The sequence below is a fragment of the Homo sapiens genome, chromosome 1 (genome assembly GCF_000001405.40).
Source record: "Homo sapiens chromosome 1, GRCh38.p14 Primary Assembly".
NCBI classification, from domain to species: domain Eukaryota; kingdom Metazoa; phylum Chordata; class Mammalia; order Primates; family Hominidae; genus Homo; species Homo sapiens.
In genome coordinates, this window is record NC_000001.11 from 7,467,570 (window position 1) to 7,483,340 (window position 15,771).

The window sequence follows — 15,771 nt, forward strand, 5'->3', positions numbered from 1 at the left end:
TCGACGCCTCTATGGCTCCCGGAGGGTAAGGCCCCAGCTGCCCATCGAGTCTGCCGGCTGGTGTGTCCCCACGGGGCTTCGTAGGTGCTGTCCCAGAGCCTTAGTCTTGGAGCTGGAGCCAGACGCAGAGGTGCCCTCGGTCTCCCTGGGCCGCTGCCAGGCGGCTGTGGCCCCTTCTTGCTCCTTCTCTGTTGCGCCGTCTTCCTTCCTTCCTTCCTTCCCTCTTTCCAACTGAATTCTCGTTTTTCCTCTCTCCCTAGTGCTTGTACGGCTGCTATGTCCATTCCTCCATCATCCCCACCTTCCACCGGAGGTGCTACTGGCTCCTTCAGGTAGGTGGCTGGGACTGGATTCTTCTTCTGTCTCTGGTGCTCGGGAAGGGTCTGTGGAGGGCACTGAGGGCGCGGGGCTCCGCATGCGACACGGCTTCGGGCTGAGAGCCCTGGTGAGCTTGCCTAGGGAGACTTCGGCTGTTGCGGCACTGAGGCCAGCTCAGTGGCTGGGCTGGTGTTGTCATGTGTCAGGAAGGGGAGAAGGCCTGGTGGCAGGGGTAGCTGTCACCCACTGATGGGAAATAAACCTAGGTGCTTCCAGCTTCCAAGGCGCCTCAGTTTTCTTTTGATGAGGACAAGAAAGAAGGCCGAGTATCCTGCCCTGAAATGCCTGTTGGCTGAAAGCTGTACATTCATTTTCTCTCATGGGTTAGTTACAAGGCACATGTGGAAAACAGGCTCCCGGAGGTTGCCAGGCACAGCTGGATTGATTGGGATAGCTGTGGGGAAAGGAGGAAGGAGCTCCGTAATCGATTTGTGATGTCTGCTGTGGCAGGGATGGAACAGGTTGTGGCTGGGCATGCTAGCCATTCCTGTGGGAGAGTGGCCTGGTGCCCAGATCTCTGTCCATGGTGTTTGTGCACAGCGTTGCTGAACCAGGGGTGGGTAGGTACGGGAGGCCCACCTGGCCTCTTGCCCTCTGGGGATCGTCTGCCAGCTGTCTTGCCTGCCGTGTGGGCGGGAAGGTCTGAGGGATCCATGCAGTCGGACTAGACATAGGTCCTTTTCAAAATGCATCCTCTGATTTGCAGCTGTTCTTGGTAGAACCCATTCCCCATGGCCTGCCTCTGTCACCCCAAGTTCTTACTGTTGCCTCTACCCAGGAGTTGCTGCCTGAGGCCTTTCCCACCATGGTTCTACTTTCTGTTGTTCAAGGCAGCAAACCCCTGGACCTTGATGGTTTAGGGATCTCTCTGACCTGGCGGGGGTGTAGTTGGAGGGGCCTGGCAGCTGGGGAAGCAAGTCCCCCAGTGCTATGACACAAGCTCAGGGAGAAAAGAGTCACACATGCCACGGAGTGCAGAGAGGCTGATGGCCACAGGAGAGCTGGTCTGGAAGGTGCCCACAGGGCCGGAGCCATGTCGATGTGGAGGCCGGGCTCAGCCTAGACAGGGCCCTCTATCCATCGGCTCTGCCCAGCCCCAGCCTCCAAACCCTTTCCATTCTCCCTCAGTTCCCAGAAATAGCCGTCTGTTGTTCAGCAAGTTCAAATGATGCCCGAGACCATCCGGGGACGTGCTGATTTGCAGAGGCTGCTTCCCAATACCTCACCCTGTCATCAGTTTCCCTGGCTCTGCCTCCCCTGGAGGCTGACGTGCTAGCACCTGCTTTTCTAATTGCTCAGACCTGTGTGCTTGAGGAGGGGAGTTGTCACATGGTCATGGGATGAGGCTTTTGGGGTCTTGTTACTAGGAATTGGTCCCAAGGTGTTCCACCCCTTGGCAGAGGGTTTTCTCCTCTACCCGATGAAGGGTGGGGTTCCACCCGAGGCCAGAGTTCTGGCGGCTGAGTCAGAGTCAGAGCATGTCCTTGAGTCCCCAGGGACAAACTCTGGCTTCCCAAGAAACACCATTTATCCAAAGCAGCCTGCAGCCCTGTACACTCCTTCCTGGGCCTCCAGCCCCATGGGTCTGGTTTCTGCCCTTTTCCTTTTCGGTTTCATGCCCCCTGGTCAGAACACCTCTTTGGCCATTGCCCTCCTGTCGGGGCAGCACCTGGAAGCTGGCATCCTGCCAGCAGCCCAGCCACCCGCTCCTCCAGGCTGGTCTGCTCCTCCAGGCCTTTTCTCCTGCACCCACGCCTCCGCCTGCCTCCCCTCATTCCATCATGCCCTTGTGGCTTTTTAATTCCACTAAATTTACTTTCCTGGAATCAGACACCATTGGGCAGCCACGAGGTCTGAGCTGATGACTTCCCAAGCTGCATTCTGCTCATTCCGGGTCCCTCCTAGATTCAGCTGCTCCTGTTCCTCAACTCGGGCCAAGCGAGGAGAGGGGTCCTGCTCTCTGCCCCAGCCCTCCCTCACTGGCGCTCCTGTTTTCCAGCCTCCGTATGCTGGAGGCATACCTGGACTGATTCATGTGTGTCTGGTTCGTTACCTCCCAGCTGGCGGGGAAGTTGGAGTCTCCCCGAAGGCCAGGATGGCAGGACCAGGCTTCTTCATGGCCGAGCTGGGGCCTCTTCATCTTCTCTGCCCAAGCCTGGGGGAGCCATCCCTCCCCATCCCTCTCCTCTGTGTCCTCCAGCATCAGACTTGTTTCTGTGATCAGATCACAAAGAGGGAGCGCACACAGGTGTAGGGGGTTCCTGCTCCCCCAGGTCTGTGCGGGGCAACAGCAGGTTAAGGAGCTAAGGCCAAAGCAATTAGCACAATGCACGCCCTGCTCGGAGCCCAGAGCCTATGTGGCAGCCGGTGCCGCTCAGGGCAATTTGTTCTGGTGCTAATTACAACACCAGGATAATGATGCTGTGGCCAGGTTTAATTTCTCTGATGTTAAATAGGAAAGAAGCCATGAGTTACTGGCTCAGATGGAAATTGGCTCAAGTGTGTCTCTGACACCAATTACCAAGAAAAAGGATTAGGTGGGGTCCAAGGTGTCAGGGCAGTGCCCATGTTGGGAGCTGAGGAAGGAGGCTGCTCAGATGCCAGCCCCGAGCCAGCCTGGTCCTCTGAATGCAGGAGGCACTAGGAAAGGGAGTGATGGGCTGGCCATGCTCTCTCAGCCCCCTGCAGGGGGTGAGCCTTCTAGAAAGGTAAGGGCATTGGAGGAAAGAGGGAGGAAGGAAAGGAAGAAGTGCTTCTGGAAAAAGGAGACTTTCTCCAAGGAATAGCACCCACTGCCCCACCTTTGTAGCCTCAGTTCAGTGGCCGCCTCCTGCCGGCCCACTGTGAACTCGCTCCTGCCCTCTGAGATGCTCCAGCTGATGTCACCCAAGGCCACTTAGCACTTAGTGGGCACGTCTGCCTATGTTGGCCTCGATTTTCCTCTCCAACTAGTCAGCTCCCAAGGGAGAGACATGAATTCCTGTCTCCCCTGAGTGCCCAGCCCAGAGCCACAGCCACCACAGGGCAGGAGCCAGCATTTGGGAGAGCCATGTTCTGCTGTGGTGACGTATCCACCCCGGGGCGGGAATGAGCAGGCCTCGCAGACTCGGGGCCTGGAGCTCAGGATTGGTGCCAAGATTTACAGAGAAGGGCCTGAGTTGACGTGGCACGTAAGCTTCTGAGTCATCGGGCTTTCAGGGGAGGGTGCTACCTCTCTGTCTGTGTCTGTCTGTCTGTCTTTCAGGCTCTCTGTCTCTCTCTGCGTCTCTCTCTGTCATGTTCTCCCTCCCCATCTCTCCATTGCTGACAAATATTCTATTAGGCTATGAGCGAGGAGACGGGCAGGGAGCCTCTCACAGGCAGGGCACTAGAGCCCATGTGGCCCATAGGCTCATAAAGCCATTGGCATGACCAGTAACCACCATGTGAGGTCACCAGGACAGCTGGGGAGGGACCAGATGACCTGAGCTCAGCCCACTCCAGCTGGGCAGGGCCAGAGCCATGACCTGGAAGAGGCCACCTCTTCCCCTCTGCTGGTGGCACCCATCCTCAGCATTGCTGGGGGCTCTGTGTCACAGCTGACAGGGCCTTCAGGCTCCCCTGAGCCTACCCAGTGCATTTTCTAGAAGGATTTCTGAGACCCAGCGAGAGCAGGGCCAGGCCCAGGTCACCCAGTGGGTCAGGGGAGGAGCAGGCAGTGCTCCGTTCTCCCGATGCCTTGGCCTCTGCCCCTACCGCCTGATGTGGGTGTCACTGCAGCCGCAGGACCCTGAGCCTCGTGAGGTAGAGGAGGCATGAAGGGGTGAGCTGGACAGAGCGGTCCCTCCTGTTTGGGATTTTCTGATGGTTTCGAGGGGTAGGCAGCAGAGGTTCAGGGCCCCCTGACCTCCTCATGTGCCCCTTTCTCCTGGTCCTCCACCTTCCGTCCTTCTCTGCATTCTCCGCCTGCCCCCGCAGGGGACCAGGCCCCCATTCCAGGCCAGACTTCCCTGCAGATTCTGTATGGCTCATTTGGAAACTATTTCTGCTTCTAATGAGTGTTTTCCTTTGTGCCCTTGTCCTCTAAAATGCTTAATGACTGCTTTCCGTGCTCGAGTGAAGCGGGGGTGTGTCCCCGCATGGCTGCCATTGCCAGGCCGGAGCTGTTTGGCTGCCAAGCCCGGCTTGCTTGGGTGGAGGCAGCGGGGGGTCCTTCCTGGCCCACGCTGGCAGCACAGACCAAGCCTGTGGGGGCAAGAGCACGGCTGCGGGGAGACGAGGACCCTGGGGCCTTAGGAGACCACAGGACAGGGTGGCAGTGCAGGTCGGGGCTCCCACATCACTGGAACAGGCAGATCTTTGAGCCTGAGTTCTAGGAGTTGAGCTCCTTGGGGGACTCTGGATTCAGAGTCTGAGGAGCTGGATTCCAGCTCTGCCTGGACCTACCTGAGCACCAGGAGCGGTGACCATGCCACTGGACACCTCTGGTGCTGACTCCTGGCTGGGCAGTGAGCCTCCACCACGCACCACACTTCACCTGGGAGAAAACAGCCTCCGAGAAGCTCCACAGTTGCTCAGTCAATAGGGGGCAACCATCGCTGCCCTCCGCTGCCTCCCCTGGGGGCACCACCATCACCCCTGTTTATAGATGAGGCATTTGAGAATCAGAGAGATTGGGCACCTTGTAGCAGATCACGGAAGTGGCCAGAAAGTGGGACAGCTGCTGGGCCCTCAGCCTGGATGCTGTCTGCTTGCTGCCCCCACATGAGCCTTTGCCAGCCCTGGGTCCCCCTAGAAGTAGTGGGTGCAGGGCACAGGGGTGCCATCACCCCCTAGAGCAGGCACCGTGAGACTAAGCACCACAGGCATTGTGGCCAGAACAGAGCCCAGCCACAGCAGCCTCTGTGGCTGGTGCTGCTGAGTGGGGACTCGGGGCGGGGACAATGCCAGTTCACCATGGGGTTCACTCCAGGCGGTCCTGGCCCCAAAGGGCCCCCATGTCCAGGAGCGAAGTTGCCTTTACCTGGGACTCACCACCCCCCAGGAGAGGAAGAAGATGCCTTCTCCATGGGGCTGCCTCTGGGCAGGATCCAGGCTTCCCCACAAGGCCTGGGGCTCTGAAACCAGGTTCACAGGGGAGAGATGAAGCTCCAGATCCCCAAATCAGTGGGCCTTCCATCCCCAGAGTGGTCAGCTGCTTGTCCACCCTGGGGCTGAGAGCAGGGTTTCCTAGGGTAGTTCCCAGAGAGGGGAGAAGGGCAAGGCTGCAGGGAGAGGCCCTAGGGGAGATGCCCCGGTTCCACTCCTGCCCCAGGCCATCTGCCCTCCATGGGAGCCCTGCAGAGTTAGCCAGAACATGGATCTCTCCAGCCAGAGCAGGTCCCATTGGCATACTTGGCCTTTTGGCCCATAGGAGGAACAGCTGGGGCTGGGGCAGCTCCATGGCAGAGGGACCGGCAGTCCTAGAGCCCAGGCTCGGGGCTCCCCCAAGGAGGAGGAGGAGGACAAGTGGCCTCTCCAGGCTGCTACAGCCTCTGGAGTTCCATACTCAGGCCCTAGAGAAGCCACTTCTGCTCCTTGTTCAGGAGACCTTGCAGCCAACAGCCTTTTCAGCCTCTGCCCCAGACACAGGCCCTATAGGCCTCAGCCCAGGCATGCCCCCAGGGAGTCCTCCCTTCATGCTGCAGCCCTCAAGAGGGGCCGTGGGGCCCCCTCACTGCTGAAGAATCTTTTCAGAGGGACAGGCCCTGCAGGTCCCTGAGGGCAACTGAGTCCCAGGCACCCCCAGCCAACAGAGAAGAGAGTAGGCCGTGAGCCCTCCTGGCCCAGCTCCAGGGACCGTGGCACCTCATGGTGGGTCTGAGATGAGCCCAGCTCCACACTGGGGCATTAGTGTAGTTTTTCTCCACTGACGCCGGAACCTGGCTGTGGAACGCGATGGCCTCTCTGAGCCGACTGCCTCTGGCTCCCCAGGAAGGGTCCTCAGGATGTGTCTCTTCTGGGAGCACCAAAGCGTGCTGCTGTGTCAGGTCTAGGCATCCTGCAGGGTCCCTGAACCCCAGCCCCTGCCTGCTGCAACCACACAGGAGGCTGCCCTTCCGGGGCCACCCCCCTGGACACTGGGTGAGTGGATGGGCACCATCAGCCCTCTGTGTGGGGTGGGGTTTAGACCCGTCAAATAGTGGGGTTAGGATCACCCAAAGAAGCACCTATTAGCTGTGTGACACTGGGCAGTTTGTCTAATTTCTCCGAGTCTCAGTTAGCTCATCCATAAAATGGAGCCAACAGCAAAGAAGCAGCTATTAGCTGTGTGACTCTGGGCAGTTTGTCTAATGTCTCTGAGTCTCAGTTAGCTCATCCATAAAATGGAGCCAACAGCAAAGAAGCAGCTATTGGCTGTGTGAATCTGGGCAGTCTGTCTATTTTCTCTGAGTCTCAGTTTGCTCATCCATAAAATGGAGCCAACAGCAGCATGGAATACAGAGGCTGTTGGAGGAGTGGAAGTCTGCATTGATGCCGTGCATAAAATGTCACCCAGTCCCTGGCACAGGGCAAGCATCCACGAATGATAGCTTGATGCTGCCAGCACCAGGTAGACCTGTAAGTGGACATCCTGAATCCCGGAGAAAGCGTCTGTGACATCCCCACCCCATCCCTAGCATCCCACCTCTGCATTCTCTCTCCCAGAGGCGTTGAGCTAGGCTGAGCCAGCCCCTCCCAAAGCCTGAGCCAGGCAGGAGCCCCGCTGGTACAGGCAGCCTCTCTACCCTTCATACCACCCTCTTCTGCAGCCCGGACAGAGAAGGGAGCAGAGGCTACACCAGGGTGGTGCTGTCATTGCAATAAATGTCCCTTAGCCACCCAAGAGACTTGATGTCTATTTGGAGAATGAGCAGCTCTTTGGCAACCCAAGTGTCTCCCCAGAAGTGCAGCCTCTCCCCGCACCCCACTCCAGGACCATGCCCTGCAGCCCTCAGGAAGGACTGCCCTGGCGGTGAGCTGTGAGCTCGGTCATGGAAGGGACTGCAGGCCAAGTGGGACACCCTGAAGAGTATGGCCGCGCTCGCCCCTCAGCCCGTGGCCTCCTCCTGGTGGTGGGGACCTCTCCACCCGGATGAGCTGGGCTCTTCCCTGGCAGGCCATCTCTAGGAAGCACAAGCTAGCTTAACAGGATATCATTTCTTTCTTTCTTTTTCTTTCTTCTTTTTTAAAAATCTTTCTTAAAATGGAGAATATTATAGCTTCATAAAAAATACCTGAGCTTTTTGCTCAGCAACCATTTTTATGTTTCATCAGGGTGAAATAGAAATGGCTTGGAAATAAAGCCTGACGGCACTGGCTCTGTACCTGGGCCTTCTACTGCCATCTATCGCTGGGGCAGGGCTCCACGGCTCCCACCAAATGAGGCTTGGCGGGGGGGATTAGAGCAACAGGAGGCCTTGCTGTCAGGCTGACACTCTGCCCCAAAGAGGACATTTGGACCCATGTGCTTCAAGGAAAGGAAGCAAGTCGCTCCCTGAGGGGTCCTGGCCTCCACATCTGGGCTCAGCAGGGAGGGGAAGGTGTCCCAGGCCTGCCAGACCCTCTGCGCACCATCCCGCAGCCCAGCCCTGGTATCTTTGGTGTTATAAGCACCCTGTGTTACCTTCAGCCACCAAGAGTGGGGACGTGGCTGATGCCGAGGTGCCCCTATACACGCTCACCACCGTGCATGGCTCAGGAGACCACAGCCCTGGCCGTGCGTGACGGCCACTGAGCGCTTGATCAGAAACTTCAAGGCCTGGCTTTTGGTTCTCACAGCTACCCTGGGAAGGAAACAGGGCAGGGGTGAGTTCGTCCCAGTGTTTCATAGAAGAAGAAACTGAGGGTCAGGAAGAGAATAAGGGGCTCCAAAAGACATAGGGTAGGCAGGGCCCTGGTCCAGGCCCTTTAAACAGACGTGGTCCCTGTCCTGGGGGAGCCCACAGGCCACAGCGGCCAGGCCCAAGGTGCACACATGTGCAGTGAGCAGAGATGAGAAGGAAGAGCAGCTTCCAGAGCCTGGATGTGCTGGCCTCACAGGGACCAGTCCTGATGCCAAGAAGGGCAAGAGAAAGGTTGACCGACCCTGACATAAACCCCAAGTTTCCCCTGCCCTGGCCCTTGGCGTCCCTGTGAGGCTGGGGTCTGATGGGACCTTTCTTCCACACCTTTGGCCGCCACAGCTGAGCTGACCATGGGCACACTCCAGAGCACTTGGACCTCGGCAGGGGACACTGAGCCAGCCCGCTGTACTCCAAGGGGTAGCTGGAACTTGGCAGCAGAGACAGGAGTGGCCAGGCCCTGACATTTGGGCCCTTGGATCCTTGCATGGACAGCAGATGGAGGACCCTGTGGTGTCAAAGCCATTTCTGACCCTAGCCTAGTTGGTGGTCCCTAAAGCTGGTCAAGACGGTGGATCCAGAGAAGGAGACACAGAATGGGCGGGGCGGTCAGGGGAGGCTTCCTGGAGGAGGTGAGCCCAAAGTTGAAGGATGGAAGAAATGGGGAGGGGGTGTTTCCATGCCCTCTGACATGGGGCAAGCATGGGTCACAGTGCTAAGTGCTCAGTGAGACTAACAAGGCCACTTGAGGGGTCCCAGTTCCCATGAGCCAGTTCCACACACCTCACCCGGCACAGGGCTGTCTGGGAAGAGGCCCTCAGGACAGGTGTCCCAGCACCGGTGCCAGCCAGGTGATCTGGAGGGGAGCATGGGGAAGGGCCTGGAATCCTCCTGACTCTCTGCTGGGCTCAGAAGAGAGCAGGACAGGAAGAGCCTCACCAGACCAGTGCATGCAGCTTCAACATGGCCATGCAAGCTCCCCACAGCTGACAGTGACAGCAGTGGCCATCCTCATCCTCATCCTGTCACCAGTAGCAATAACAACAGTCATCGAAGGCTGCGGGCAAGCACTCAGCCTGCCTGTGAGGCCAGCATTTAGTCACTGTCACCATGTGGAAAGGAGGCTGGGTCTGTGCTTCAGGTCAGGCCTCCGCAGCCCCCGCCATGCAGAGGGAAGGCTGGCTGAAGACCCAGACACTGGCTCGCTTCACAGACCTTGCAGGAAAGACAAGACCCCAGCAGACGCTTGCGCCATTAGATAATTAGGAGAAGGGCAAGGGGGTGTGAGGGAGGCCAGGGCTCCAGCGGTGCCCCAGGTAGGAGGAAACCCTGGCAGGAGTGACCATGGTGACACTGAGAAACTCACTCAGTCCAGAAGCTGCGGGCCAGGGATAGAAACCCAGCCCTGGTCTTAGAAGCCGCCTCGAAAGCTTCATCTGGACTAGTAAACGGCAAAGCCCTCCTGCAGCTGGGGAGGGGCGGGTTTTGGAAAAGAGAGTTGAGGATGAAAGGTTGTGTCAGCCAGAGGGTTCCTAAGCTGCCTCCTGGGTCTGGCTTCATTCTAGCTGGCAGCTTCCACATCTTTCTCCATTTAATGTCCCTTGAATAACGTGACGAGGAGATAAGGTAGACACTGGGAATTTACGGTGCTGTGCAAAAAATTGCTCAATTCCATTAAGATTTCAGGACCCTTGCCAAGGCTGCACGGCAGAGCGGACAGTATTTCCCGCTCAGACATCTTTGCCTGATTGCAGTTTACGATGCCAAGGCCACTGCTGTACCCACCTAAAGCCTCCAGAAAATATGGCAGAGCTCCCAAAACGGCCATTATCCTCTCTGAGAAAAGTCACTGGGCATTTTCTAGAAGATTCCCTCTTCCCGATTCCTTCCTTCACCCCTCCCCGCCTCTGGGGACTGGGCGACAGGAGGACATCCAGTCGGCTTTCTCAGAGGGTCCCCTTGCAGGCCCCATTGCTCACCCTTCACCTTGCAGACTGCGGCGGCCAACGTCTGCTATGTGGCCAGAGCCCTCTGGGGAGGGGCACCCTCTGCTCCCGCCGTGTGGACGAGTGGGTACTGAGTACAGGGGAGACCTCGGGGCATCAGGAAAGTCTTCCTCCTGGCCACCTATGTGGGACCACCAGAGCCAAAGGTTTTGAATTCATCACCACCCTTATGAGCCAAGTGACTCTGGCCAACTGAATCAACTTCTTTGAACCTTATTTCCTTTTTGGTAAAATAAAATAAAATACCTCCCTCCTGAGCTGAATGGGAAGATGAATTGAGCTAAGACACACAGAGGTCTTTTGGACTCGGCAGCCCCCTGGGAAGTGGTGGCTGTTTTCACCCCACCAGGACCCTTTCCAGCAGCTTTTACTCTAGGGGATTGGACGGGTGGAATAGCAGTGGTCGGGGAAGGGGGTCCCCTGAGAAGGTCCTATCCAACCCAGTTTGCAAATGGCAAAATGCTAGGCTTGTGAGATGCAACTGTGATTAGGAACAAAACTCACTTGTTCCGCAGCCTCAGGCGGGAATCTGGTGTCTGGCTGAGTGAGATGGAAGCTCTGCCTTCTGGCACTTGTCTCCTGTGTGCCACCCTCCCCGAGCCTCTCTGCTCCACACCATCCCCTGTGACTGCCACCAGGACCTCTCCTGGCCTGGCCTGCCGACGCTCCTCTGTCCCTCAGCCCTTAGGGACTGGGCTGCCCAGGCTTGACTGGGAGAGAGGAAGGATGAAGCTTCCGGAGCCGCAGTTCCTTAGAGATGGAAATTATTAATTAGTCTTATTATCCAGAACTTGTCAGTCTCTTAATCCTTCCGTCGGCAGAGGGGTTTATGCCTCCACAGCGTGTGCTGTCAGCTTGGCTAAACAATCGCTTTTCATATACAGCCAGAACAATGGGCAATACAGTTTGGTTACTATCTTTATCAAGCCAAACAATTCCTGCCCCCTCTAAGAACATCCTTCAAAGATGTGGAGAATGCAGAAGCTGCTTAATTTCCCTTCTAGATGGCTTATAATATGGGGCTTTTGTTTAATTATCCTTTTCATGTAATCTTCAGCTGACATTGTGTCCTTAATATTCTAATCTCCTTTGGAGCAAAGGGGAGACTGTAGTTTCCAAAGCAAAAGACAAAACTTTGCCTCAAGGAAACACTTTCTCTTTTGCCTCTGACGTGATTCAAAGGGCAAAGAGTGAAATCCAGACGTAGTGGGACAGAATGCAGTGGAAGACGTGGGCGGTGGGTGACCCACTCTGCGTGTGGACGTCAGCAGCTTGCTGGGCCTCCAGCTGCACCCAGCTGGTGATGTTGGTCTGTGTGGGCGTGTCAGAGACTCTAGCTCAACAAGGAAGTCCCATGACATGGTGTCATCACTGCTTTTAGCACCATTAATATTTCAGTGGCTCTCGGGATGCAGGTTGTATATTCCCACGGGAGACACACCACCTGCTTCGGACTCCTGGCAAATGGTTTTGCCTAGACAGGTGAAGACAGGTGCGCCCAGGTACCCACAGGTGCACACAGCTGTACACAGGCGTCACTGCGCCACAAGCCTCCCCTCTCAGTTCTCCTGCCTTCATGCTGGAGTAAGGATCTGGGGTGGGGGTGGTACCTGAAGGAGGCTTCTTGCCATCCCCATCACCACCCCAAAATGGGCAGGACGTCCTGGGGGATTTTATGCTCTTTTTCCAGACATGCCAGGGTCCCTGTAGGTGATGGGGAATATTAACAGAGCTGTCCTCTCACTCCACCTGGCTGCTGGGAGAAGGCAGCCATGAGCCCAGGGTGTGTCTTCCCCAGGCCTCATTGGGCTGTCATGTGAGATGCGCTGGTGCTGGCGAGCCTCCTGCCCAGCCCAGCTCAGCCTAGCTCAGCTCAGCAGCATCCCAAGCCTGAAGCCTCTGGAACCTAGGCCACCTCCCAGCATGCAGAGCCATCCTGCCTCATGTCTTTCTTTGCTGTTCCTGCAATTCTGCCTCTCTACCTAGTCCCTTATCTGCTTCTGCCAGAGCAGCCCCACTGGCTGGCAGCCACCGAACCCACATAGCCAAGTGCTCCTGTGGGTTCAGCTTCCCTTCAGCTCAGTGTTCTGCACCCCTAGAAGATATATGTGTGTGTGCATGTGTGTGAATGTGTATATGTGTGTATGAGTGTATGTCAGTGTGTGAGTACACAAGTGTGTATATATGTGAATGTATGTGCATGTGTGTGAATGCTTGTGTATGACTCTGAGTGCATGTGTATGTCCATGTGTGAGTCCGTATGAGTGTGTTTGTGTGAGTGCATGTGTCCGTGTGTGTGCCTGTGTGTGAGAGCGTGTGTGTGTGTGTGAGTATGTGTGTGTGAGCGCCTGTGTCCGTGTGGGTGCATGTGTGTGTGCTTGTGTCTCAGTGCATGTGTGTGCATGTGTGTGAGTGCATGTGTGTACGTGTGTGTGAGTGCATGTGTCCGTGTGTGTGCATGTGTGTATGTGTGTGAGTGCATCTGTGTATGAGTGCGTGTGTGTATGAGTGCATTTGTAAGTGTGTGTGTGTATGAGTGCATGTATATGTGCATGTGTGTGTTTGTGCATGTGTGTGAGTGCCTGCATGTGCGTATATGAGAGTGTGTGTGTGTGTGTGTGTGAGAGAGAGAGACAGAGAGAGATATCCTCGCCCCTAGTTCCCCTCTCCTCCTCTTCTCCCCCTGCTCCTTCCAGCTTTCCTTCTCCTCCAGGCCCCGATGAGGCTCTTGGAGAGGTCACTAATGACCTCTGCCTTGCTATACCAGAAGGTCACTGTGCCATCGTCATGTTTCCTGGCCTCCCAGCAGCACCTCTTCAGGCGGCCATTCCCTCCTTATGAACGCTCCCTGCTGCCGAGACTTCCCGGCTATCTCCCTCCTTTCTGTTCTTGGCAATCCCTCTTGCTCAACCCCCCGATGCTGGACTATCCCTGAGCTGCTGAGGCCTTCTCTTCTCTGTCTACACTTTCTCCTGGGATCATCTCATCCAGCCCCACGGCCCCAGTGCCAACTGTATGCTAGTGACTCCCACGTTCATATCTATGTCCTGCCTCACTGCTCTGCACCAGATTTTTACCCGACTCAACATCCTCTCTTAATGCAGAATCTGCATCTCCAACTTCTCACGGCTAGAGCAGGACTCATGATGATTTCCTCCCTGAACTGCTCTTCCTCCTGCCTTAGAGCATCGATGGCTCGCCGTCATGCAGAGGCTCAAGCCAACCCTCCATTATGCCCCTCTTTCCCTCACTGCCTCTTTCCTGCTCAGAAATATGTCCTGAACCCACCTCCTTCTCTCCCTCTCTTCTGCTTCCCAACCCTAAGCCACGGCTCCCTCCTACCCAGAGCTGGAGTCCCTCCTTCTTAGCCTGTGCTGCACTCTCCACAAAGCGGTGGGGGCAGCCACTTAAATCCCAAATCAGATCACATCACCCTTATGCTTCAGGCAGTTCAAGAAGTCTCCACGGCACTTAATGTCCAAAACCTTACCGTGACCTCTGAAGACCTGTACCCTTGACCTTGGTCTTCCTCTCCCTGCTCACTCTCCAGCCATACTGGCTTCTTTCTCTCCTCAAAGAGTCAGGTCCTTTCGTGCCTCAGGGCCTTTGCACATGCTCCTCCCTCTGACTGGAGGCTGCCCTGGACCTTCCATGGTTCACACTAAGATTCAGGTCTCCTTTCAACTTTCAACTCCACATCAAAGCCCTCTTGACACTCCATCTACTGTTCCCTCACTCTCTGGCAAGCCCTTCTGTTCCTCCCTCCCCAGCATTTTATGATGAAATGTTTATGATATACAGAAAAGTTGAGAGAATTGTACACACACCCGTACAGCTGCCACCCAGATTCTGCCGTTAACATTTGACCATATCATTTGATCACTTACGTGTTCCACCTATCCAGCAATTTTTCGAGGATTTCAAAGTAAGCAACAGCCACAGCACACCTCCCCCAAGTCTTTCAAGGTGCATAGCATTAACCAAAGTTCAATATTTGCATACAGTTCTTTTTTTTTTTTGCTTTTGAAGTAAAGTTTATACACTGTGAAACAATTGAATGCATACATGTTAAGTGCACTAGTTGATGAGTTTTGATCGATGCGTGCGTCAGTCATACCCTAAGCCCACATCAAGATTTGGAACATCGCCATCACCCCAGAAAGTACCCATGTGTCCCTTTGCAGTCAATACCCACTTCACCCCCAGAGGCCACCACTGTTCTGATTTCTCCACTATAGGTTCATTTTTTCTGTTCTAGAACTTCGTAGAACTGGAATCCTGCAGTATATGCACTCAGGTATATACTTGGCTTCTTTCACTCCACATCGTATTTTGCCATTCATCATGTTGCTACTGCCTACTGTGTTATTTATGCCTTGTCTATCCCCCCAAGCCCAGCCCCATCCTTCAAGCATAAGCTCCACAGGGTCAGGGGCATGATCTGTTTTGTTCACTGCTACATTTGGAGTGCCTGGAGCCATGCCTAGCACATAAGTACTTGTTTATTGGATAGGTGTGAATGGTGTCCATCCATCCAGCACCGGGCTTCCTGAGGGCAGGGCCAGGTCACTACTTCCTGGGGTTTCTCCTAGGCTCTCCCACAGCTGCCCCTAGGTCCAGCTGTGCCCCACGAGCACAAGCGTCAGCACTCGGTAAAGACACCAGAATGGATGCGCTCTCCACGCAGTGTGTCCCCACCTCCCTCCATCCTCCTGAAGAGGGAGAAGACATGCTCTTTAGAGATACAGTTTAAACTGGCCTTAGCTTGGGCAGAACTAAAGCATCAGAGAGCCTTTGGAATGCCCAGAAAGGGTGACCCTGGTGACACCAGGCATGAGAATTCTCTGTGAGCTTAGCTTGGAGGATTGAGAAGGAAATTCGGGGCAGAAACGTTTGTTGATCCTGAATTGCTAAAAGGTTTCTTAGTTTGGAGACCAAGTTCTCAGAAAAACACTGTCGGTTCCAAAGAAATGAGCTCCCATGGGGTCTCATTTTGCCCTATCTGTGCCCTCAGTTTCTCTGCAGCAGAGGAGGTGGCATTGGGGTGCAGGCGTCTCCTGTGGAAAGTCCCCAGCTCAGGTCCCTGATGCAGGGGCTCTGTCAACACCTCCTCTCAGTCAGAGTGATGTGAGCTGTAAATGTGCCCAGGCCCCACCCCATGTCATCCCAGGGTGAGCCTGGAGCCAGTGCCAGCCAACTGGGGCCACCTCTACAGCCTGAGAGGGCTGCAGAACTCCAGACAGGAGGCTGAGCCAACCCCTCTGCATTCAATATGTCTCAGCCTCTCTCAGGAAGCTGGGCCCCAGCAGCCCGAGGTCAAGGGGGAATCCTTCAGCCCCCTGCAGGCTCAGGACATATTTGAGAGCAGGAAAGAGGCAGTGAGGGAAAGAGAGGCATGAAGGAGGGTTGCATGGATGGAGATTTGTCATTGCAGTCAGACCGGAGGAAGAGAGCTCAGGGAGGAAATCAGGAGTCCTGCTTCAGCCACGAGAAGTTTAAGATGCAAATTCTGCATTAAGAAGGGATGTTGAGTTCAATCTAAAATC

General features: G+C 55.7%; 1 protein-coding gene across 24 annotated transcripts in view, besides 4 other annotated features; it reads left to right on the top strand.

Moving 5' to 3' along the window:
* The window catches only part of CAMTA1 (calmodulin binding transcription activator 1), a 984,253-nt gene that overhangs the window by 682,116 nt on the left and 286,366 nt on the right, over window positions 1-15,771 (top strand). For 19 of the 24 annotated variants that reach the window (XM_011541084.3, XM_011541083.3, NM_015215.4 and 16 more), the window contains one exon: window positions 261-332. The exons of the other annotated variants lie outside the window; for them this stretch is intronic. In XM_011541084.3, coding sequence (XP_011539386.1) covers window positions 261-332 — 72 coding nt within the window. The remainder of the gene's footprint in view (window positions 1-260; window positions 333-15,771) is intronic. 24 annotated transcript variants of the gene reach the window in all.
* Window positions 3,021-3,565: an enhancer, noted in NCBI's record as "H3K4me1 hESC enhancer chr1:7530650-7531194 (GRCh37/hg19 assembly coordinates)". NCBI's record gives its function as "activates a minimal SCP1, AML or CMV promoter by ChIP-STARR-seq in primed H9 embryonic stem cells {active_cell/tissue: H9 hESC(primed)}" and the evidence as "EXISTENCE:reporter gene assay evidence [ECO:0000049][PMID:30033119]".
* Window positions 3,021-3,690: a biological region, named in NCBI's record as "H3K4me1 hESC enhancer GRCh37_chr1:7530650-7531194".
* Window positions 3,541-3,690: a silencer, noted in NCBI's record as "silent region_184". NCBI's record gives its function as "represses an Ori minimal core promoter by ATAC-STARR-seq in GM12878 lymphoblastoid cells {active_cell/tissue: GM12878}" and the evidence as "EXISTENCE:reporter gene assay evidence [ECO:0000049][PMID:35858748]".
* Window positions 5,288-5,979: an enhancer, noted in NCBI's record as "H3K4me1 hESC enhancer chr1:7532917-7533608 (GRCh37/hg19 assembly coordinates)". NCBI's record gives its function as "activates a minimal SCP1, AML or CMV promoter by ChIP-STARR-seq in primed H9 embryonic stem cells {active_cell/tissue: H9 hESC(primed)}" and the evidence as "EXISTENCE:reporter gene assay evidence [ECO:0000049][PMID:30033119]".